The 26,076-nt window shown below is 42.3% G+C and overlaps 2 long non-coding RNA genes across 2 annotated transcripts in view; one reads left to right on the top strand and one right to left on the bottom strand.

Moving 5' to 3' along the window:
* The window catches only part of LINC02257 (long intergenic non-protein coding RNA 2257), a 64,876-nt gene extending 48,870 nt beyond the window's left edge, over nucleotides 1-16,006 (top strand). The window contains exons 2-4 of the long non-coding RNA NR_149057.1: nucleotides 10,939-11,059; nucleotides 15,120-15,228; nucleotides 15,793-16,006. This is a non-coding gene — a long non-coding RNA (long intergenic non-protein coding RNA 2257). The remainder of the gene's footprint in view (nucleotides 1-10,938; nucleotides 11,060-15,119; nucleotides 15,229-15,792) is intronic.
* The window catches only part of LOC124904517 (uncharacterized), a 72,424-nt gene continuing 57,646 nt past the window's right edge, over nucleotides 11,299-26,076 (bottom strand). The window contains exon 3 of the long non-coding RNA XR_007066885.1: nucleotides 11,299-13,573. This is a non-coding gene — a long non-coding RNA (uncharacterized LOC124904517). The remainder of the gene's footprint in view (nucleotides 13,574-26,076) is intronic.

Raw genomic sequence — 26,076 nt, 5'->3', positions numbered from 1 at the left:
TGGATGTTTGTCCATGTCTAGGCATTGAAGAGTTGGGTTTTTATTGTAGTCTTTACACTTCAGGCTTGTTTGTATCTGTCCTTTTTGGTAAAGCTTCCTAGGTATTCAAGGGGAATTGAGTGTTGTGATCTAAATCTTTGGTCATTGCTGCCCTATCTGCATTATAAGGCACCCCAAGCCTAGCAATGCTGTGTCTCTTGCACACTTGTAGAGGTACCACCTTGGTGGTCTTGAGTAAGATCTGGGATAATTCTCTGGATTACTAGGCAAAGACTCTTGTTCTCCTCTTTTACTTTCCCCCAAATCAACAGAGTCTCCGTCTCCATACTAAGCTGCCTGGAGCTGGCAGGGAGGATAACCAAGCACTTGTGTGGCCATCGCCACTGGGATTGTGCTGTGTCAAACCTGAAATCAGCGCAACACTGAGTCTCACCCAAGGCTGTGGCAACCACTGCCTGGCTACTGCCAATGTTCATGCAAGGTCCAAGTGCTCTTCAGTCAGCAGGTGGCAAATCCATCCAATGTTGTGTCCTTCCCTTCAGGGTAGTATGCTCCCCTGTGGCCCAGGGCAGGTCCAGAAATGCTGTCCAGGAGCCTGGTCTTGGAGTGGGGAAACATGGGAATCTATCTGGTGTTCTATTTTACTGTGACTTAGCTGGCACCCAAGACACAAGACAAAGTTGTTCCCACTCTTTCCTCACCTTTCCTCATGCAGAAGGAGTCTTTCCCCCAGGCCACCACCACCTCAGGCCCATGGCAAGTACTGTTTGGCACTGCCAATATTCACTCAATACCCGTGGGCTCTTCAGTCAGCTTGTGGTGAATGCTGTAAGTCTTGGGTCTTTTCCATCAGGGCAATGCGCTCCCTTCTGTCCCAGAAAGGTCCATAAATGCCATCTAAAATGCAAGGCTTGGAATCATGGACTCCAGGAGCCCAGTTGGTGCACTACCTCACTGTGGCTGCACTGGCGCCCAAGCTGCAAGACAAAGTCCCCTTTACTCTTCCCTCTCCTTTTCTCAAGCAGAAGGAGTCTCTCCCTATGGCCACCACAGTGTAAAACGCACTGGATCACACCTGAAGCCTGCACGCCCCGGGTCTCACCCAAGGCCTCACGCAAGTACTGCCTGGGTACCACTTATTCAAGGTACCCACTTATTCTTTAGTTAGCAGGTGATAAATCCTGCCAAAACTGGGTTCTTCCCTTCAATGCAGTGGGTTTCTTTCTGGCCCAGGGTATGTCTACAGGTGTTGTCTAGTGCCTGGAATAGGGACCCCAGGACTCTGCCTGGTACCCTATTCTGCTGTGGCTGAGCTGGCATTCAAGTTACAAGACAAAGTCTTCTTTACCCTCTCCTCTCCTCCGCAGAAGGAAGGAGTCTCTCTGGGGCAGAAGATCTGCCGCCTGGGGTTGGAGAAGGGGTGACAAAAGCACTCGCTTGGCCACTCCAGCTTGTGTTTCACTAGATCATGTGCACCCCAAGTCCACTGCTTCCAGTCCAGCACAACACCAGGACTTGCCCAGAAATTGCAGTCCATGTGGCCTAGACTGCTTTTTAAGTTTATTTAGGACCCCAGAGTGCTTTAACACCCAGAGGTGGGGCTAGCCAGAACTCAGGTTCTTATCCCTGGGATGGATGATTCCTTTCTGGGTAGGGCTGGTCTAAATGCTCCCTCTTTGAGCACTGGCTAAATTTTGCCCTGTGTTGCTTTCTGCTGTGACAGGGAAGCATGAAGTTCCAAAGCAAAATTCCATAATCACTGCATTCTCTCTCCCCTAAGTGCACAGATTATCTCACTGCACTGTGCAGCGGCTGCTGGGGGATGGGAAAGGAGGGGTGTCAGCAATTCAAGACTTTCTTTCCTATATCTTTCAGTGCCTCTTTCAGGGTTATAAAGTTAAAACCATGTACTGTGATCACTCACCTGATTTTTGGTTCTTATGAAGGTGCTTCCTTGTGTGGATAGTTGTTCAATTTGGTGTTCCTGCAGTGGGGGATGATCACTGGAGGGTTCTATTTGCCCATCTTGCTCCACCTCCTCTATCGCATTCTCTTTTTTTATTGAGTGGCCCTTGGCTATATTCATAGTACCATTTGGCAAAAGGAGCCCCAGCACCTGGGAGACCAGAGGCCACTGCTCTTCTCTATCATCTGCATATGGCACTTGGCAGGGACCATTTTAGTGTTCACTGTCATAGCATCTGTACCTATAAAAGTCAAACAATCATGCTACATTGTATTAAAAAACCAACCAGTATGAAATCCCTGATTTTTCCAAACACATGTGTTATAGAAATCAAAGATGACATTAATATCTCTGTCAGAACAAGGTTTAGTTGTGCAGGCAAAGAAAGTGATCATCCTGGAGCAAGTGAATGCAAACCTGCTGCTGCTGCAGGCTCCTTGGGGATCTTTTCCATTTTTGCTTCTATGAATCTTTAGGATGGTTGAGAAGATTTGTAGTGGAAAGAAAAAGGCTTTCAGGATTTGCAGTTCCAGCACTGAAACTCTTTCCCCACATTTAGATGTCTTCGATATTTCTTTTGTCAGGTAGGGAGTGTGTGAGGCTGTGTGTATTGGTGTGTATATATGAATTGGTGTGTGAGTGTGTGTGATGTGACGATGTGCATGATTGGGTGTGTGTGTCTATGTCCTGTGTGTGTGTTTGTGGATTTAGTTAAACATTCATGCCTCGTAACAAAGTGTCTCTTCCTTCACCTTCCACTTACTTGCTTCAGGCATGATGGGTTATTTAACAGATTAAATGATTTTACTTTGATTCTTATAAATGTATTCGATTATGTTTCAGCCCCCATGGGTTCAGAGTCCTTTCTTCATTCTAGTCATTTGCACCATTCCTGCATTTTTGGCTCACTTTACTGGAAAGAGCAGAGATATAATCACGGTAGTCAAGTTTAACTGCAAATTCGTTTCCCCTTGAACTTTGAGAGGAAAAGAGAGATAAAGATCCCTGGAGAGTGAGGGTCGGATTTACTAATCTTCATCTGTACTCTGCCTGTATCATGGAGAGCATCCATCTTGGCAGTAATAATGCATGCTGTTGTACTTATTGTCTAAATGCTGATGGGCCCCAAGGAAACAAGAACTCTGTACCATTGACTGGGCCAAGTTTAGCTGATACACGGTGAATACTCAGTAAATGTTGGCTAAATGAATGGAGTGGAGTGGAAGAGAGAGGGCTCCTTTGAAACAGTTTTATATATAATGTAAAAAATAAGCTCAAGAACCATTGTTTCATTCAACAAAAATGAAGACATTAAAACTAAAATATGGTCATTGTTATTTTTTCTAAAACTCCATTTTCTTTATATATTCCAAACTTCTTTAACAAAGAAGCTATAAAATAGCTTTGTCATGATACCATCATCTCATAAAAATAAAAACATGATTGGGTTAAATGGCATTTTTTTTCTTTTTTTTCTTTCATGTTTTAAGCAAAACAAATGGCCTGGGCTCTGAAGGAGGGGGAGCTGCTCAGGGTCCACACTGTGTTGACAAAGCTTCCTTCCTGGGCTTTAGAAACAGGAAGAGATGTGCTCTGTGCTCCTTTGGGTGCTGGGACTGGATCTTATACCAGCTTACCTAACCATCAGCTCTCAGTGCTAGAGAAAGGACAGTCAATGAGATTTGAAATAGTAGCAACAAGCACTCTTTTTTTTTTTTTTTCGAGACAGGGTGACATCCTGTCACCCAGGATGGAATACAATGGCACAATCAGAGCTCACTGCTACCTCCAACTTCTGGGCTCAAGAGATTCTCCCACCTCAGCCTCCTGAGTAGCTAGACTACAGACATGTACCACCATGCCTGGATAATTTTTTAAACTTTTTGTAGAGATGAGGTCTCGCTATGTTGCTTAGATTGCTCTTGGACTCCTGAACTCAAGCAATCCTTCTGTCTCAGCCTCTCAAAATGCTGGGGTTACAGGAATGAGTCACTTGCCCAGCCAATAACAAGCACTCTTGAGTGGGGCAGATCTATTCGCCCCAACTCAATTCATTGAGTGATTAATTTGTTGAATTAGGTCTTTGAGAGGAAATGAGAGATAAAGATTATTATTATTCATTGACTTACTGATTATGTTGTTTCTATTAACTACTTTATAATTCACAGTAGTTTTTTTGTTTTATCATCATACAGTATATTTTAGGTTTTCCTGTTCTTTGGGCCTATGCCTGCTGAGAATAACAATTTCCTGTGCCTTTTGAATTTTGAGCTGGATTCTATCATGAGATATATGATTAGGTGTTTTACAAATGGTAGAGTGGGTTTATTTCTTCTGTTGCATTTTCAACATACCTAACTGCCCTTTTAAATTTCCCTTAATTCACATAACTGCTTTTTTGAATGAGAGAAGAAAGAATGAAGTCACAGAGAATTTGTGGGGAGTTGTGTTTGGTTTGGGCCACATGTAGGTGTCTGTTGCCCATGGTATGTGTTGTGGTTCTCTGCCCACCCCCACCATACCCATGTGTGCACACACACAAACACATATACTCATATCCATGTATGTCAGTCCCTTCTCTATTCACATGTAAGTCCCTTCCAAAAAGCACATGATTTTCTTTGTGAATCCTGGAAATCAAACAATCTCAGCTTCTGGTTGATTTTCATGTGACAACTTAAATTTTTTTAAAAAAAGAAAGCCCATATATCTGTTTATAAAACATGGAACATTCAAAAATGGCTCAGATGTTAAAATTAAAACAAAACATAAGTAAAATTGACCTTCAACTTGGCTAGACTGGAAAAAACATGAATAAAAAAGAAGTGGTAGCAAAGAGCTAACTGGACTGAGAATGGTGAGTGTATATTGGATTTGGTAGACAAGCCCTGAGATTCTTTATATACTACATTAATACCTCTGAATACTTGCATTCCCATTCTGAGGTTTTGAATGGATTTACCTTGTGCTGTAATTTAGATTTGAGGGGTACATGCCTAGAGCCTCACCATGTGCAAATGGCTAAGGTAGGCTAAGGTTGGAAATTGCTAAGCAAGTAGAAGTAGCAGCTTCTTCCTTCAGGGAGCCAGAAGCCAGTCACCTGCTTAAAGGGTGCAGTGGCTACTCTCATATTCAGAGTAAAAGGTAACGCTGGCTTAGGAAGGTGTGCATGATCCACAGCCTGCACCAATTCCTCGGTCTCTTCCTGTATGACACTCCCTTCTGCCTTGCATTCTCTGGCTGCCTGGCTTTTTCTCATCTCTCCAACAGGCCAGGTTCTTCCTACCTCATGACCTTACACTGGCTATTTCCCCCACTTGGAAAGCACTCACCCCAGATCTCTGCCAGGCTGCTCTTTCTTATCCTTCTGGCCTTAGGTTAACAGTCGCCTCTTCAAAACGAACTTCTTTGACCTCCAGCTCCTCACGAGCCCCTAACACTCTCTTTATTTTCATCATAGTACTCCTCCATGACATTAAAAATGGTTTTTAAGCTCAGTAACATCAGGGACCTCATCTCCCTGCTTAGCTGTATCCTTGCCACGTAGAAGAGTTCCTGACTCAGAGCAGCTCAATAAATGTTTCTTGCATGAATTATTGAAACCACACTTTATTCCTCAGAAGCACGGACATCTCATTTTTCTCAGCACTCTGTCAAAAGAGGCCATGTTATATGTTTTATTAATTTATTTTTCTTTTAATTTGGGTTATAGTGAGTTTGCCACATAAACGTTTTGAATTCTTATGTATTCAAATTTAGCCTTCATGGTTTCTTGTTTTGGTGGCATGATGAGAAAATATTTCCATTTCAGAATTATAAAAATATCCACTTAAATTTTCTTCTAGTGTTTTCCTGTGCTTGATTTATATTTAAATATTTAATCCATCTGAATTTATTTTAGAATAAGATACATGGTAAGAATCTAAATTACATTTTATTCAAACTGCTAGCCAGTTGACCCAACATGATTTATTGTATAATTTAGCATTTTCCTACTGATTTAAAATCACAACTTAACCATATGCTAAATTCTTCTATCTGTGTCTGTCTCATGGATCTGCCAGTCTTGTTCTGCCCCAGAACCAGATTTCAGTTATTGTAGCTTCATTATAGCCCAGCTTCTTACGTGATAGAATAAGTGTCTCTTCTTCTAATCTCCACCATTATTGTCTTTTTATATATTTTTCCTGAGATTAACTTTAGAATTATTTTATCAATTTAAAACAAAGTGTTAGTGAGATTTATTGGGATTGCCTTAATGGAATGTGTTATTATATATTATTATTTTTAGACTTGCTCATCTAAGAATTTGGCATGTTTCTTAATTGTTTGCAAACCTTTTGTGTGTTCATTACTTTATTTTTATTTTCTTCTTATATTTGATGATCTCTGGAGAATAAAACACCTTTAAAATTTTCCACTCAGTCCTAGTTCCATATGTTTTCCATGGTTTGCTTTAAAGTGTGTCTCTCTTTCTAACCTACCCATTTTCTTTTGGAGTCAGGTAAAGTGAGAGTCACAGATAATGTTCTGAAGGTGTTGAGAGACTTCCTGTTTGAAAAAAATTACAAGAGTCTTCCATGATTGTCAAGGTTGTGGAAAGCAAAGATGAGCTTGCCGTGACCCAGCCCTCAGGTCAACAATAATCCACAGAAGGTCAAGTGTTTATCATCTCCTCTCATTTTATTTAAAATTTTTTTTTTTTTTTTTTTTATAGAGACAGGGTCTTGCTATGTTGCCTAGGCTGATCTTAAACTCCTGGCATCAAGTGATCCACCTTGGCCTCCCAAAGCATTGGGATTACAAGCTTATGTTAATTTTCTTGAAGCAGGTGATTTCTTTGTCACTCTTGAGTTTGCTAACATAAGAAAAACATTCATTTTGAACTCACCTTTCAGGCCAGGGCACGGTGGCTCATGCCTGTAATCCCAACACTTTGGGAGGCAGAGGCAGGTGGATCACTTGAGGTCAGGAGTTCAAGATCAGCCTGGCCAACATTTCTCTACTAAAAATACAAAACATAAAAAATAAAAATTAGCTGGGCCTGGTGGTATGCACCTATAATCTAAGCTACTCAGGAGGCTGAGGCAGGAGAATCTCCTGAACCTGGGAGATGGAGGTTGCAGTGAGCTGAGATCGTGCCACTGCACTCCAGCCTGGGCTATAGAGTAAGACTCTGTCAAAAAACAAAAAAAAAAAATGAATTCACTTTTCAGATGCACCAAAGGCTTGACTCTGGGGGACATAAATGATGTTGACACCTCATCAGAAAATTTCAGTGAAAATATGGCATGGGGATAAACAAAAGCAAATGAGGTTAAGCTCTGTGGGTAAGAGCTCAGGCTCTGGACTTGTGGCCTGTCTTGTTGTTATTTCTGGCTCTGTCATTTACCAGCTTGTCCTGGGCCAGGTGCTTTACCTTTCTATCCCTCAGTGGCTTCACCTGTCAAAGGGGAACAATAATTGTCCTTCCTGCATGGTGTGCTGGGAAGATTACACGGGATATTCCCTGTATGTGCTTAGAACCATGTCTCATTCCATACATGATGATCAGCATTTGAGTCACTCATTCAGTTGTTATGCTAGCCTGGGAGATCCTTATGATCAAGGAGTATTCTCCTGCGTCTTATCAATGCCAATTTGGTTGGTGAGAAAACAAAATTGGTTCCTAGCCAGGGCCACTGTTTGTGTGGAGTTTGCACATTTTCCTGTGGCTTTGTGAGTTTCATTGGGTACTCTGATTTCCTCCCACATCTCAGCGCTGCGCCTGCTAAGTTCCTTGGGGTATCTCAATGGTCCCAGTGTGAGTGAGCGTGGTTGCGTGTGTGCCTGTGTTCTGTGATGGAATGGTGGCCTGGCCATGGTGGGTTTTTGCCTTGCATCCTGAGTGCTGGGATAGGCTCCAACCACCTGCAACCCTGAGCTGAAATAAGTGCGTAAATGATTATCTTGTTTTCATTAATCTCTCTTTAATGTATGTATAGCTCACATTTATTTCAATGTTTAATATTAGAAGTGTTTTGGCCTTTATTTAGAAGTTTGGTGATGTTTTTGTGACAAGAAATATGCCTTAAGAACTGAACTCTTGTTTATATTAATTCTCCTATGGTAAAATTGGTTTTATTTTATGTTGTTCTATTTAAAGTAGCAGTTTCTAGGAGCCTATCTATGACATTAGTTGAGGATTTATTGTATTTACTCATGCATTGTTTATCAGTGACAGATCACTTTGTATCTTCTTCCTTTGGTCTTTTGTTTCTGTCTCTGCTGGCTCTTCCTACCTTCCTCCCTTGAATATTCTCCATAGCCATCACCCACTATGGACTGCACATTGTCCAGCTACCACCCTGTCTCATTACTGCCCAGCTCCATGGACTTATAAACCCACTCCTGTCTGCTGTTATCCCTCTACACCATTGAATTTCCTTTTACTGAAGTCCCTAATAATTAATAAATGGTCAAACCCAATGGATCACTTTCAGTCCTTTCTTATCTTACTTTGTCTGTGTGAATTTACACTAGATCACAAACTCCATGAGGGAAAAGATATTGTCTTATTCACTGTTGAATTGCCAGTGCTTAGAATAGTCTCTGCCTATAATAGATACTCAATAAATATTTGTTGAATGAATAAGATTATAAATATTATTTACACTCAGTCAGCCATTCCCTTCTTAAAACATTCTTTCTGTCTTCATCCATAGAAACATCATATTCTTACTTTCTTCTGGAAATTTCTTAGTTTCCTTCCTTTCTTTGTATATCCCTCAAATGTTAGTATTCTTCAGAGTTCAGCTCTTACCCCCCTCTCTTCTCTTAAAAGCTTCTTGGGGGACTTCTTATATCTATGTCTTCAAACATCATATATATACGTGTGTGTGTGTGTGTGTGTGTGTGTGTGTGCATTCTGATTACTTCCACATCTTCATCTCTACTCAAATTAATTTTAATATCTTTAGACAATGTAGTCAATTACCTGTAGAATGATTTGATATTTCTCTGGCGTTTAAAAATATATATCCAGGGCTGGGAGCGGTGGCTCATGCCTGTAATCCCAGCACTTGGGGAAGCCAAGGCAGGCAGATCACCTGAGGTCGGGAGTTCGAGACCAGCCTGACCAACATGGAGAAACCCCATCTCTACTAAAAATACAAAATTAGCTGGGCGTGGTGGTGCATGCCTGTAGTCCCAACTGCTCAGGAGGCTGAGGCAGAAGAATCGCTTGAACCCGGGAGGCAGAGGTTGTGGTGAGCCGAGATCACGACATTGTACTCCAGCCTGGGCAACAAGAGCAAAACTCCGACTCAAAAAAAAAAAAAACAAAAAACTATATATATATATATATATATATATGTATATATATATATATATACATACACACACATATATATATATATACATATATATATACACATATATATACACATATATATACATATATATGTATACATATATATACATATATATATATATGTATCTCCAAAACGAAACTTTTATTTTTTTCAGAGCTTTATGTAGAAAATGTGAAATGAAAAATAATTAGTTGGAAGCCAAAATATCACCATAATTGCTTAGAAATGCTAAATTGGAGGGCACTATTTTGTGTGAGTGACAGATGAGCCCCAGAATTATACAGACCTACTTCTTCAGTTCTGAACCGAACAAGTTGAGCATGGAATATATTTAGTTGCAGAGAAACCACATTCTCTTTTTTACAGGTGTTATACAATCCTACACCAATATGACTGTGGAGCTGCTGAAGGTTAAGAAGCTGTCTCCACCGTATGTTCTTAAGTAATCATGAACTAGCTTGAGAACATTTGGTGGTGGCTCATTCTTGAGTTTGAGAGCAAAACAACTAAACCCCAAGATTAGTTATGCCATCATTCTCTTCTTAAGGATATACAATGGAGTTTGGGGCAGCTAATACACTGTTGACAATTTTGACATTAACAATTTACTTCCCTAGTTTTCTGAGATACACGTGGATCTCAACTCTTTTGAAGTTTAAAAACAGCAAGTATTGTACCTTCCCTGAAGTCTAAAACAATGGCAGAAAGAAAATTTTATTTTTTCTATAATAGAATCCTTACCACAGCTGTGCTTACTAAGGACTCTGTGGCCTGCCAGCATCTGCTCAGTCTCTGCATGGGTCACACATGTGTACTTAGGCCATTTGCTAATTTAATGTCAAGCTATAGCCACCAGCACCTCAAAAATCCTCTCCTGAGATGCCCATGCCTTTGCAGAGACCCTGTTCTTCTACACCTGTCCCTAGGAGCAGCCTCTGCTAATGCAGACAGAGCTGGAGGCTGAGAATTGTCTTTATGAATGATAAAGAATAATTTGGATAATATGACTTTTGTGTCAAAGGAGCTTGCAGGCACAACCTCAGAACTAGGAGAATTTACCTTGTGGATCAAGGCTGTGCCAGGCCACGGCAGGCCTTCCCACATGGAGGGGGTACCCAAGAGGAGAAGCACAGGTCCCTTGTTTACCACGTCAGGCTGGCTTTTTAAAGGAGAAGGATGGAGTTGCTTAGATGGACATGCCTGGCTTATTTTCCCAAAACTATCCATAGGAAATTCACTCTACTTTTCTAGGCGAGGAGTAAGGGGTAAAGCAAGAGGCTTGGTATGTTTAGAATAAATCTCTCTGAAGCAAAATTAGGAGAGTGGGGAACAAGCATTTCCCTCTAACGCTGTGCTTCTTCTAAGAGGTGGTTAAAGTATGACCATCCACTCAATCACCTGTGACCATCCACCTCAGCACTATAGCTGTGTCACTAAGCACTATAGCCATTAGGCACATGTGGCTACTGAGATCTTAAAATGTGGCTACTACAAATTTAGCTATGTTATAATTGTAAAATATACCCTGGATTTTTATTACAAAAATGCAATATATCTCATATATATATATATATATATATATATATATATATATTTTTTTTTTTTTTTTTTTTTTTTTAGGTGGAGTCTCGCACTGTCATCCTGGCTGGAATGCAGTGGTGCAAGCCGACTCACTGCAACCTCTGCCTCTTGGGTTCAAGTGATTCTCCTGCTTCAGCCTCCTGATTTGCTGGGATTGCAGGTACCCACCACCACGCTCAGCTAATTTTTTGTATTTTTAGTAGAGACTGGGTTTCACTCTGTTGGCTAGGCTGGTCTCGAACTCCTGATCTCATGATCTGGCTGTCTTGGCCTCCCAAAGTGTTAGGATTACAGGCGTGAGTCACTGCACCTGGCCTCATTAATATTTTTATATTGATTGCATGTTGAAATGTGTATTAGCCAGGGTTCTCTAGAGGAACAGAACTGATAGGATACATGTACATATGAAATGGAGTTTATTAAGGGTTATTGACTCACATGGTCACAAGGTGAAATCCCACAATAGGCTTCTGCAAGCTGAGGAGCAAGGAAGCCAGTCTGAGTCCCAAAACCTCGAAAGTAGGGAAGCCAACAGTGCAGGCTTCAGTCTGCAGCCGAAGGCCTGAGAGCCTCTGGCAAACCACTTGTGTAAGTCCAAGAGTCCAAAAACTGAAGAACTTGGAGTCTGATGTTCAAGGGCAGGAAGCATCCAGCATGTGAGATAGATGAAGGCTGGAAGATTCAGTCAGTCTGGTCTTTCCACGTTCTTCTGCCTGCTTTTATCCTACTGCACTGGCAGCTGATTATATTGTGCCTACCCAGTTGAAGGTGGATCTGCCTCTCCCAGCCCACTGACTCAAATGTTCATCTCCTTTGGCAACACCCTCACAGACACACCCAGGAACAATACTTTGCATCCTTCAATCCAATCAAGTTGACACTCAATATTAACTATCACAAAATGAAAATACTTTGGATATATAAGGTTAAATAAAAAATAATATTAACATAAATGTCACCTATTACATACGTGGCTTGCATTGGACAGCACTGTTGTAAACCAATGGTTCTTCAACTAAAATGAGGAATCTATTGCAGATTGATACTTTCATAAAATTCAAATTAAAATATCTTTCTATAAAACATTGTAAACCTTTACTCTGGATCCTGTACTTATTTTATTGCCCGCTGTTAAAAAAGAGTTTGGTTCTGACTCTCATCTGAAGAGCTTACTAAGAAGTATGAGTAGAAATAGTTCTAGATGTCTCTTCCTTTCATAGGACCCATAAGTAATAAAGTCCTATCAGTTCTTCCTCCTGTGTATCCTATGTGCATCCTCTCCTCTTCATTCCCATTGCATCTTCCTTGGAGAGACCTTTATTTCCTTCCAGGATTATTGTGAGTGACTACTAAAAACTCTCATTGCCTGCACTCTCATAATCCCTTTATTTAAAACCCTGCAACTACTCCTCATGCCTCCTGGTCAAAGTACAAAATTCTCCTGGGACCCTCAAGCCACAGATGAATTGACCCCTGCCTGCTGGTTCAGGCCACCTTTCCCCGATTCCACACTAGAGTAGCAGCCAGCAATTCCTGATCTCAACCATGTCATCCTCTATAGAAAACACGATCTCATGTAATCCTTGGAAGAACCTGAAATGCTGGCAATATTTTTCCTATGTTACCGATTTTTAAAACCAAAGATCAGTCTAGCAGAGTAAATTGTTCAAAAATACTCAGGTAGTAAGGAGCAGCGTTAGAATTTGAACTTGGGTCTGTCTAATTCAAAAGGCTATGTCCCTTCCACATGACATGGTGCTGCTTGGAGTTCCTCTAGCCCCCTCTTGTTTCTGGCTTTAGCACATGCTATTCTCTCAGTTCTCCGTCTTCTACTTCTGATCCATTTAGGCTTTTCTTGTAATACCTGAGCTAATCTTCAACCACCACCTGGTGCGTTTCTTGAGACCTCCTGACCCCCAAAGCCTAGCTTCTTCTGGGACCCTTTCAGCTCCTTCATAACACTAAACACACCACTTGGTAGTTGAAGGTCTTATTTATTTCCCCTTGTGATTCCTCCTGATGCAGAAACCATCCTCTATGCTTAGCACTATGTCTGTTATGGGAGATGCTTAATAATTAATTCATTCATCTTTTCATGTATCCAACTAATAATTATTAAGACAGACAAAGGCCCTGTCTTCATGGAGCCTACCTTGTAGTGAAGGGAAATTGAAAGAATAAACTGAAAATTTAAAAATGCATGTGTGTGTGTGTGTGTGTGTGTCTGTGTGTGTGTGTGTGTGTGTGTGTTCTGCTTGCTTGTTCTTCCTCTAGGTGTTTTAGTGCACCACTTACCCTAATGATATTCACCAAGGGTGCTCAATTTGTACTGCTCCAGCCAGCTGCTGTGTGCCAGCGCAGCCATCTGCTTTCTCCCGTTGCCATCCCCAGGCGGGCAGCCTGTCAGACAGGGGCATGGTCGTTCCTTCTTTTCCCATTTGTTCAGTGTCTCTGGATTCAATTTTCTCCTTTTCATTTGGGGAATGTCTCAGGCGTGCCCAGGAAATGTCCTTCCAGCTCCTCTCCATCACCCTGTCATATGTCAGATGTGCTCAGCAAAATTGTCTATGCTCTTGAGGACAGGCTGCTCGTGGACCATGGAGCCTCAGCCTCATTCTCTGCATCAGCCAGACTTGGCATAAGCCATGACCTGTTTCAGCCTCAGTTTTCTTGTCTGTAAAATGAGAAGATTAAACTATTCTAAAGTTGATGCTTGGCATGCTTTTCTCTTCCCAGGAGTCTTGTGTAAAAACTAAACAGATACAACAGATTTACTCCTCCGTCAGCAATATTTACTGAACACCACTATGTTCCAGGCATTGTCTTGGGTGCTGATTATGAAGCAATGAACACAGCAGTCTTGATTCTCTTGAGGCTTATGCCCTGGCTGGAGGAAGCAGATGGACAAGTGAATGCATGGTTATGTCAGGTGGTGATGAGAATGTCAGAGTACTATACCCAAGGTAAAGTGGGTGGGGAGTGTCAATGGAGAAGTGGATGGAGGCTATTTCATGTGAAACAGATAAGGTGACCTTTGAGCAGAGACCTGAAGGAAATGAGCACTACTTGGAAATCTACCCCACTAGTCGTATAGAGTCCCCAACCATATGCCCTGCTACTCATGCCATACATCTCTCCCCCGTCAGTCTATTATTTCAAGCTTATGATATACATGGACATTCTTTTTCTCAGGAAAGCTCTCAGAATGACAGAAAAGTCCAGCGGTTATGCTCAACACTCTTCAACATCCCCAACTCCACTGCACACCTGCTCTTTCTTTGTTCCTTGTCTTGCACAGAGAGGAGAATGACTGGTAACCAGGAGTAGCCCAAACTCACGTCACAGCCTGCTGGGACCAGGGGAAGGAGGTGCCTTCACACAGAACAACCCCTTCTTGTAAACATTCTCCCCCACCATTCAGAACATTTGAGCAGTTGTTTATAGGAGATAAATATTGACACAGAAGACTGCAGAGAAGATTTGCAACGTGCTTCATGGGGCAAATGGGTATGGTGGGCTGTCTGTCCCCTCAACCCTTCTCAGCTAAGCCCACCTACTCGTGGTGCTGTCTACTTCAGGAAAATCACTAAGTGACTCATGTGTCCTCATACTTACCTTTCAGACCATGTCCCACCCCTGAGGAGTTTTTCAGAGAAGGATGGTAAAGTGAATGGAACTTCTTATCATTGACTGTTTTCACTACTCCTTCTCATTAACCTATATGGAGCTTCAGTGCCATTCATAATGTTCACGGTGATCTTAGCACAGCCTTTCATTTGGTGAGGCTACTAGTTATAGTTACTTTTTAATTCCTCAGTAGTTCAATGGCAGAGAGTTAAGCTTTGACAGGTTCCCCATCTGCTTCCTCTGTGTGCCCCCACACTAAGAACCCCAAATAAAACTGAGCAAGATAGAGCCATGTTAGGTAGAAAGAAACAGCCCGGAGTCTTTCATTCATTTTGACAACTCTTTGACTAAACTAATACTAGATCAATTTATTAGTTTAGCCACTAGTGGGCTTGGGGCACACAATTTACCTGCATTGAAGAGAAGCTACAGACTTAAGGCATCTTGGTCTCCCATAGGTAAAAAAAAAACCACACACACACACACACACACACACACACACACACACACAAATATTGAATGAGATTCTTTTGCCCACCCCCAAATCATTTTTCAGAGTAATTGTTTCAGGTCCATTTTATTTTCCTCTGCAGAGCAAACCAGTGAAAAAATGGCCTTCGCACTCCTGAGAGACCTTTCACCGGGCTTTCTACTTTTGAATTCTCTCCATAGCTGGTTTCCTCTTAGGCCTCGATAGAGCAGGTGAATATAAATGATTGTTCAGCTGAGGAGGGAGGGGACATTTCATTTTCCTGTTGTAACTGAGGAGAGGAGAGGAGAAGAGGTGATGTGCAATGTAAAGAATCGGGTTTAAGCTAAGGTCCTTGAAAACAGTGGGAGCTAGAAATCAATTAAAGAAAGAAGCAAATAGTGACATTAGCCAATATTCATTGGGTCCTTAGTGCATGCTGGGTATGCAGTAAGGATACTACATTTTAAATGTAAAATAGAGCACGTAAACCGTGACCCATTCACAGGATACTGTGAACACTGTGCATGCACTATTCAATTTCCCCCATCACAATTCTCTGAAGTAAAGACAACTGTTACCCCCAGTTTATAGATGAAGAAATGGAGACAGCAAGAGATTAAACAACTTGCACACAGTCATGTGCTTAGCAAGCAGAGCAGCTGGGGAGGAACCTAGCTGGTTCCAGGGCTCCTGTACCTCACCTCTGTGTAGTACCTCTTTGCTGAATGGTTTGCTATGTTTTGGGGATGCCTGCCAAAAAAGAACAGTTCCTGATGGCTCAATTTTCATTGCAGTCCCTGAATCACACAGGTATGCTGACTACGTCTTTTCCTGGTACAAACCATCATGGGGGAAACACACAGCAAGAAGCATCTTCAGGTCACAAGATAGGTAATACCATCTACCTGAATTTTTTCAAAAGCAGCAGAATATTTAGTTTTCTATTTCAGTGGCTTCTAACAGAGATCATTGTTTGCACAAGATTAAATGTCTGCAGTGGTCGTCTTATCTCAGTGTGTGATATGGGAAGATGGTATATGTGGCAAGGTTTGCTTAGGTCACCCTTGTAGAAAGTGGCCTCAGTATGATTCAGAGGTGATTGGAATCTGGGAAGGATCTTAGAGTAGGAGATGGATTTGTCTCCCCAGGTTTTATGGCTACAATGAGGCAATAAGTATATTTTGTTGGGGAGAGAAATAAAACAAGAAAACTTCCGGATTTGTAGATTAAAGCTGTGGGTTTTCAAAAATTCACTGTAAGCTCTGACATGAGGTTGACAATTTCCTATTCTCTGTTGCTGGCTTCTTCTGTGATAAAAATTCAGGATTGGAAAAGGTATTACTAAATATTGGAGAGAGATATTAAAGAAATATCTTTAATAAAGAAACCTATACACGGTTGATACTTTCTGCAAGAATTGAAGAGATATTTTTTAAAAGCACAGATTTAACAAGAAGGTGAGCACCTAAGTACTGGGCATGTGTAGAAATAATGTGTGTCTTGGTTAAAAATCAAAGCCAGAGATTTCTGTAACCGTGATGGGTAAGAACTATAAAACCTACCATTTAAACTTAAAATCTATTTGATATATAATTAAAATTAAAAATGTTAATATTTATTTAGGGAAGATAGTCCCTTTGTTCTAGGACCAGTTGAAATACACCAATTGGTTACCAATTGTTCCTCAAGTTTTGAGGCAAAGTTCAAGTGTCATTAATCTAAATCAAAATATTTAAGATTGAAAAATAAATGTCCTGCTTGGTAACATAGGTAGTGTAAATTGTTGTGCATGGCTGGGTCAAAACTGTATTGATTTTCTTTCATGCTCTAGAATTTTTAAGAGGAAAGGAAATGGGGAGCATACAGTTTTGGGGGACTCTATGTGAGTTTAGAGTACCCTGTGCTGAAAACTATGGTGTGTCCTTACAGAGTCAGTTCTTACAGGTATTTTGGCTAGAGTAGTTACTTATAGGAACTGAGTATTGACACAGAAGACTTTAGAAAGGACTCACCAACATGCTGTTCTCCATTCACTGGTGTAGAGAACTGTCCTGAGTTCATCACAGCTATTCCCAATGGAATGGTTTTTGTCCTAATGGTAGGGTTATATCAGATAGAATGACCAAGCTTTTGGAAAGTGTACTGATGTTGTGATATCATATTCTGATAAGATTGTTCTTCTGAGGCCAAAGAATGAGGCCATGCTTCTTGGGGGATTCCCTAGAAGGGTGTGTGGGGGTGGGAGACTCATCATCACTCATCCTGGGTGGAGGCAGATATGAAGGAAATAAGAACTTGAATGATGAAAATTACACAGTGAAGTGGACATTTTTCCTGCCTGGTGTAGGGGGGTCTCAAGAGGTAATGTGAAGGTGAGACACAGATATATTTAGTGGCCCTGTAAAAAGAGGATGATCTAGTCCTGCCATGCACTCATTTATCTTATTTTCAAGAGGTACATATGGAGTGATTACTACATGCCAGGTACAGGAAAACAACACTGAAAAAGTAGACACAGCTTCTATCCTTGGAAAGCTTATTGTCTAGGAGAGGGAGATAAGTATTAAATGGCTTTTTAAAAATCAATTTTATTTGTCTATTTATTATTTCTAATTGTGGTCAAATACACATAAGTTTTTACCATCTTAACCATTTTTACACGTCCATAGTGGCATTAAGTACATTCACATGGTTGTGCAATCATCACCACCATCCATCTCCAGAGCTCTTTTCAGCTTGCTGAACTGAAACTCCATACCTGTCAAACAAGAACCCCCATCTTCCTGTCTTCACAGCACCTGACAGCCAGCATTCTACTTCCTATCTCTATGAATTTGACTACTCTACATATCTCATACAAGTAGAATCTTCTATTTGTCCTTTTGTCATGAGCTTATTTCACTTAGCATAATGTCTTCAAAGTTAATCCAGGTTGTGCATGTGTCAAAATCCCCTTCCTTTCTAAGGCTAAGTAATATTCTGTTGTATGAATCCACCACATGTTATTTATTCATTTATTTGTTGATGGACACTTGGGTTGCTTCCACCTTCTGGCTATTGTGAATCATGCTGCTATGAACATACAGGTGTTCAAAGGTGTTTGAGTCCCTGATTCTACTTCTTTTGGGTGACAAATCGCTTTTTAAACATGAAAAATAAAAGCACAACTATGAAATGTGAAATGAAAGATCACTGAGCAGTGACGGTAACACAGGGTGCCTTGACCTGATTAGGCAGTGAGAGGCTTATTGGGGTACATTCCTGGAGGAAATGACACTTGAGACAAGGCCAAGATTGGTGTCGCGTGAACCAGGGGAAGGGGAAGAAGCAAGAGCCTTCTAGGTTTCTGCAGGAGCAAGCCAGAGACCTAAAAGAGCACACGACTCAGAACCTCGAGGAATTCTATGTGTGGATGGATCAGGAGGAAGGTTAAGACTCCTTAGGACCCGTGTCTGTGGGCTTTAGGAAAAGTAAAGAGTGCGAATATTTGTAAGTCTCAATTTGCCAGTCTATTTTCATTTCTTTATCTTTGACATTCAAAACAAAATCTTTTTTAAAAAGTGGACCTTGTCCCAGGTTTGCTGTGGAGAGCATTAAGGAAAGCACTTGCAGGGAGACAAGAGCCTCCAAATGAGCAGAGATGGAGACCAGACCAGTGGCAGTCCCACAGGGACCTTGGTGATGGAGGGGTAATGTGGTGCTTGACCTTGATGAAGGGGCCACTGCAGAAGAATCCTGAGGCCCCTGGGGGCCTCTGAGAATAACTTGAGTAGCCCTGGAAAAGCGCCCTCATTTTCCGTCATGGGTGGATAACACTTGGCAAGTTGGTACAGATGCACATTGCATCCCTTTCCAGGTTGATTCATTTATTATAGGGTGAGGTACATGCTTTTGTGGCCAACAGAAGGTGGAATTGCTCACATTCCATAATCTATAGCACTTAATACCAAAGGAAAACATATGTAACAGTTTGCTTCTCTTATTACAAATTTCAAGGCTATCAGTCCATATATTCTAAATAGTGGACATATTCTCTTGGTTCTTAGCCTCAAGCAATTGACTTTTGGACCAATATGTTTTAAAAATCATTGGTTTGCAGCCTTAAAACACTGCCTCAGTAACAAAGCATGAGCCCCTTTGGCTTTGGCCACTGAGAAACTCAGAATCAAATTCAGTGACCATTGGCGGAAATCAGCCCCTCTCAGTTACAGGGGCTTTCTTTGCTTCTGTTTCCTTTCGGTTTCAGCTCTAACTTACAACTAACTCCTCGGATTTACATACATTGTGACGTTTCAAGTACTGTGGAAACAGATCAGGCTCACATAGCAAAATAATTCTTATTATCTGTACTAGTAGAAAATTTCAGCTACTGACACTCATTGGATAGCCTAATATTTTCCCTAAATGTTTCAATTCTTCTCTTTAATTGGAAGCAGAAAATCTTAGCTGAGCCCTGGATGCCTGCAGGATGTAAGTAGGACATTTTTAGTAAAATTGGTATGCTAAGATTATAAACATAGAGAACATTTCTAGATTACCTCAAGAATCACAAAAACCAAGTTAATAGTACACCACCTTATTGATGGGAAAACACGGATCATATTTAAGTTTGGGGCTGTCAGAGGAGTCAACTATAGTGGTAGATCTATGGGTTTAACAGTCATATATGTTCATAGGAATGATGAGCTTAATTTTCTGCTGTTGGTAGTGTGTGTGTGTGTTATAGGTGCACAACATGCTCACACCCACATAATCAGTTATCACTTAATCAATTAACTATTGGGGCAAGCTAGTCAAATTTAGTGGTATGCTGGAAGCAGCAGTAGTGGCAGCTGCATTTTGATCTGTGCATCCTCGCCCAAGGAAAGGAATTTACAGCCAATATTGGTGCATTAAAATCATCAGACACTGTAACATTAGTTGGCTTTGTGGTAACCTTATAAAGGAAAGGCAACCAGCGCTAAAAAGGTTTTTAAAGTATCTATTTGCAGTCCCCCTCCACTTTCTTAACCATTACCTGGTAAAATCCCTTTTTCTGCCGACACTGTTTATCAGATTATGTATCCTATAAAAGTAAAACACTGCCCTTGCCTGGTGAGAATATATTCTGTTCATAATCCTGGTAAGTTTACATAAGTGGATGCATAAACTATGTTCTGCACACTACAAGTGATTTGAATGCATACGGGATGAGGTAAAGAAAGGCTTTGTTTTCCTACTTAACATACTATTGGGAATCTTGGAGTGGAGAGCAATGAAGCAAATTATTACATCCATGAATCTCAGAGAGGTCATGGGGACTCAAGGGAGTGAATCATCTCATTTATTCAGCAGTGCGGAGTTACAAACATCTCGATATCGCGATTGTTCACGTAACTGAAGGTCGTTTCTGTGAATGCCAAAACTTTCAAATTTCTTACCTTTCTGAAATAATTTCTAAAGGTATGCATTGCAGACCTCCTTATCTTCTTAAGTGTTTGCAGACATTTGTGACATTTTAGAAACTTATGATTATTGTTTGGGGTAAATGCCTACTGATATCACTTTTACGTATAGCAGCTGCTTCAGGGGTGGACATGGGCTGCCGTATTTGCCCTGGGGTGCCATTCTCTCCAGTCACAACTGGTGGAACTAGAAATGTGTACCTGAATCAGTCCAATCCGACAAATTTTTTTTTTTTTTTTGAGAATTCAGATTTGAGGTACAAAGACACTTAGGTAAGGAGATGCAAGGTGAAAACTGTGTTAAGTCTTTCAAGGCTGCAGTCACACCAGGGCCAGACAATGCCATATGCAAGCTGAACAGAAAGCACGGGTAAGCAGAAGAGCAGATTATGTAGACAAGAGATGGTGCACAAACAAAGAGGCCGCCTTCAGGCAGGGTAACAGGGCCACGTGACCCAAAACTGAAGGACTTCCGTACAAAGAACTGCCTCTAGGGTTTTGTCTTGTTTTGTTTACCATCAAAGAGAATTGATGAAATTGTCAGGCACTTGGGAACTCCCTGACATCCACTTCATCTGCTACTTTATTTCAGGCTCCTTTCCTTCCCTGAAACTATTCACTGGGTTCCTAACACAGTCCCCACGTTCTCTAACTTGGCCTTTGTGTATGCTTGCTATTCCTTCTGCCTGAAAATTTCTTTTCTTCCTCTTAGCATGTTCCCTGTGTGCAATTCTGCTAATGCTTCAAGACCCAGATAAAATAACATTTTCTTTAACAAGTCTTCCTTGGATCATCAAGCCAAGGGAAACTCTCCCTCTCTTGAAACAATAGCATTCTAGGTCAACCTCTGCCATCATTGCTGCCGCCCTCTATCTGGTATTAGAACAATCCACACACATTCATTTCCTCTGTTAATTCATTACTCTCCTCTGTGAACAAGATCTCTTTCTGATTGTCAATGGACTCTCCAATACTAGTGCCTTGCACAGAACACAGCACAAAGTAGCTGTCCATTAAATTATGTATTTTTTTTAGGAGACAGGGTCTCACTATATTGCCCACACTAGACTCAAACTCCGGGGCTCTGGGGACCCTCCGGCCTCAGCCTCCAAGGTAGCTGGCACTATGGGCTCCTGCCACTATTTCTATTACAATGAATGAAAGAATGAAGATCTAATCAGCTACAAGAATTCAGGATTGGTGTTTTTGATTTATACTAAATCTTGCCATAATTGGATAAAATCATGTGCTCAGATATTCCTTTCTTTCCCACAGCTACCCATCTTTGAAATAAACTATATGTGTTTGTCAAGCCATAGGGGTAACCATTTTCCCTTTAATCTTATAATAAAAAATGAAAAAATCCTAGCATCATCTGATTTTTGAGCTGGAGCTGTCTTGCTGTTTCCAGGGTAATCAAGTGGGTCCCGAAGGAGCTGAACACATGGTTTAGAAGCTCCCCAGGGCTGGGGCTGAGTCCAGAGCAGGAACAGGTCATGACGAAAATCTGTGCTGGGTGACTTAGCAGTTATTTCCCATTGATCATTCAGAGCTCTGTTGATGAAAGGAGCCAAATAAAACACTTTTGAAGTGGTAGCATTGCAAAGAGGGGGTGAAGACTGAATAACTTTGATTTGCCCCGTCTCTTATTTGATTAAAAAAGCTGGAAAGGAGGGAACAGGAAAAAAGGAAAAAAAATAATTATCCCAAGCTCCCGAGCCAATGACGTCCTTGCTCTCCCTGTGCACTAAGTGCAGCAAAGTGCATAGCGAATGCATAAGCAGGAATTTTTAATATGCGTGATATAATTAAGTGGTGTTGGTTCACTGATTTCCTAGCATTATTCTGCACATCTCTCTCAAAGGAGCTATCCCAGTGAAATGAGATTTTAATAAAAAGAAGCTGTATGGTATATTGTTGAACATTCAGGACACTTCTGCCTTTCCCGGTGATGCTGGGCTGAGAACACAATCCTATTTGAAAATATGATGTTTACATACAAATATAATATGCCAGAGCAAAATAATATAATTTCTCCCCACAATCAACTGAACACATGTACTTTATTAAGCTGCCCTTTTGGAGGACGTTTTTTCCCCTAGATGGGCCCTGTTTATTTGTTTAGGTTATTTTCTCCAGCTGTTGCATCGGAGCTTTGTGTAATTACCTTGTGCCCCCAAGGTGAATTGTTCTTGAAAACTTAGCATCAATAATTTAGTTGGTGCTATGGTTTGGATAGAGTTTGTATGGTCCCACCAAGCCTCATGTTGAAATTTATCCCCAGTGTTGGCGATGGGGCCTGGTGGGAGGTGTTTGGATCATGGGGGTAGATCCCTCATGACGGGCTTGGTGCTATCCTCAAGGTAGTGAGTGAGTTCTCAGTCTATTCCCATGAGAGTGTTCCCTCAGTTGCTGGCTGTTAAAATGAGCCTGGCTCCTTTCCTCTCTCTTGCTTCCTCTCTTGTCATGTGATCTATACACACCAGCTTCTCTTTGCCTTCTGCCATGAATGGAAGCAGCCTGAGGCCCTTACCAGAAGCAGATGCTAGCACCATGGTTCTTGTACAGCCTGCAAGCCTGCAAAACAAATCTCTTTTCTTTTCTTTTTTTTTTTTTTTTTTTTTGAGACAATGTCTTGCCCGGTAACCCAGGTTGGAGTGTAGTGGTGTGATCATGGCTCACTGCAGCCTCAACCTTCCAGCCTCAAGTTATCCTCCCACCCCAGCCAACTGAGTAGGTGGGACCACAGGTTTGTGCCATCACACCTGGCTAATTAAAAAAAAAAATTTTTTGTGGAGACAGGGTCTCACTATGTTGCCCAGGATGGTCTTGAGCTCCTGGGCTCAAGCAACCCTCCCACCTTGGTCCCTAAAAGCACTGGGATTACAGGTGCAAGCGACCACGCCCAGCTAAACCTCTTTTTTTGATAAATTACCCATCCTCAAGTAATCTCTTATAGTAACATAAATGGACTAAGACAGCTGGATTCAGGGTAGTTCCCCGCAGCCTGCTCTTTGATGCTTGCAAATCTCCATGGATGCAGTTTTCACAAATTTAACTCACATACACTGCTATTGAAACCAATCTTATTCATTTGACATTAATATGGATCCTTACAGTGAGGCAGATATCAGAATGATTTTCAATTTCCACTCTCTTCCTTTCCTGACTAAAGGCCAAGACTAGAAATTCCTTGGCTGTAAGGGTGTAAGCTGTTGCTAGTCTCCTTGTTAAGTAACACTGTGCAGTGTAATGCTGGTCTTTGAATAGCTCAGCAGTCTTTATAGATGTTACGTAGATTGATGCTCACCTAGATATTGGAGAGGGGCAAAAAAGCCAAATATCTTTCTGTTAAGCGAAAGTGCACTTGCTCCTCCCTCCAGCAGCCTCACCAAGTTATGGAGGCCTTTGATGCATCAACTTCCATACGCCCAGCCCTCCCCATCCTAAACCAAGTCAAGAAACTCTGTGTATCTCTCTCTCTCTGTCTCTCTCTCTCTCTCTCTCTCTCACTCTGTGTGGGTGTGTATTGAGAGAGAGATCGTAAAGACAAAGAGAGTGAATGACGTTTTTGCTTGAGAGCTCCAAAACAAGGAGGTTAGGTCACTGGTAAATTCTTACAAGCCATAAGCCATGTAGACTACTAGAAAGAGCTCAGAGCCTGGAGATTTGAATTTTAGTCCTTTTCTGTTTTCAATGCATTTAACTGTCAGGATTTTCCTTTACCTCTTTTTTACCTGTCCATGGGAATAAAGAGAGGATTTTTGTTGTTGTTATATATGGATGTGCTGGGTAGTAACAGGGAAAAGCTGGTTTAGGGAGAAAGAATACCTTCAGAGTGTGCTAAGCAGGGAAGTGGAAGCTTGGGGGGTGAGAGGGAGCACATCGGCAAGCACAGAGAGTGGGGCTAGGGGAGACACAGGAGACAAGAAGAATGAGGGTGGACTCTGACGAGGGTGGAAACTGAAGCCAAGCAATGCTGAGTGATGAAAGAACACTGCCCAATATGTGTAGTAGATTTCAAAATGGAATTGTTGGTCCTACCATGGAATTGTACATCCTTCCCTTGGGTTATGAATCTCCTTCTGAATGACTATTGTATTGGAGATGCTCCCGTCTCAGATCCCTAAAGCCTGATAGGATCTAGAACCAGACCAAAGAGGGAGTGGAGCAGGGAGCTGTGATTAGAGCTAGTCAGGCCCCCTGGACTTGATAGTAGCTGTCTCTACTCACAGTGCAGGGAACAGCTAATGGGAGAGGATGATGGACATCCCAGCACAATTCCCAACATGTCTCATTGAGTGCATGAGTGAGGGATTTCACGTAACGAGATTCAGGGTAGGGCTCCAGCTGTCAGAAGTGGCTGAGGGTGATGGTGGCCAAAACACCAAGGCAGGCTCAGTGTTTGGAGGTGAGTGGTGAATATTAGAAATCAAGACCCAGGCAGAAATATAGTCTAGAAACTAGAGCCCCAGAGAGGCTTGAAGGTGTGATTTGAAGAAATATAGTAGGTGAGTTTATTTAAATATTTTAGTATTATTATTATTGTGTTTATCATCTAAATCTCCCCACTAGAATATAAGTGCCACAAAGGCAGGGTTTTTTTGTGTGTTGTTAATTGCTATATTCCCAGTGACGGTGGTGGTGGGCCGTTTGGAGTGGCCACTGCCATTGCACCAGCTGCAGCAGGGAGGTGTGGGTGGTGGTGGCAGGAGTGACTGCAGGGGCAGAAATGACAGCAGTAGGTCCACTGTGCCCTGCATCCCTGAGGCAGCCAACTGTGCCACCTGCTAGCAGGGGAGCAGTGTGATTGGGCATGAAGGGGTGGGCAGAAAAGGGCCCAGCAAGGACCTAGAGCCCCCCTTCAGGCTATGAGGAAGTGTGGCCAGAGTGCACACTCCACAGAGCAGGTGGGACCCCTGCCCTCTCAGGTGCAGGACCCAGGCGTTCACTGCACTCTGCACCCTCGGGGACTGAGGAAGGCCCCCTCACTTGCCCAACAGACTCAGGGGTGTCTGCCTCCACTTCTTGGCCTCTCCCAGCTCCCAGCACCTGCTCTGATCTTGGAGCAGGGTTGGAGTTGAGCCTGGGTGCTGTCACAGCCTGGCCAGATATGCACACACGTGGGGCAGCACTGACACACCAGCCCCCAGTCGCCTTGGTCCCCTCCAGACTTTGGGTGCTAACAAGCTCAGTGGGGAAGCTGAGGGGGTGCTGACGGCAGCTCATCACTGGGCTGCAGGTGCCCCTTGGTACAAACAGCCTGGGCACCATGGGTGGTGGCAGGAGGCAGAGAGGCTCCTGGGCAGAAGGGGGAGGGTCCTCAGTGAGTCCCCACCTTCAGGCCACGGAGGGCCTGAAGGTTGGGGGCTGGGCTGCCAGTCCCACGGACCAGAGTGGGAACTTGTGGTGCCTTTTCTGGGCCCACCCATGGCTGCCTATTGACCAATCGGCACTCACTTCCTCCCCACTGAGGCCCATAAAAGCCCCGGTTGAGCCAGAACTCGACAGAGGACAGGAAGACCAGCTGCAGAGAGGAGCCACCTTCTCTGCTAGGAGCTGAACACCTGATGGGACATCCTGGCTGCAGAAAGGAGCTGCCCCATGTGGGTCTTCTCTGAGCTGTTCTATCAC

The sequence above is a fragment of the Homo sapiens genome, chromosome 1 (assembly GCF_000001405.40).
Source record: "Homo sapiens chromosome 1, GRCh38.p14 Primary Assembly".
Lineage (NCBI taxonomy): Eukaryota > Metazoa > Chordata > Mammalia > Primates > Hominidae > Homo > Homo sapiens.
This window is presented reverse-complemented; position numbering and strand designations above follow the sequence as displayed.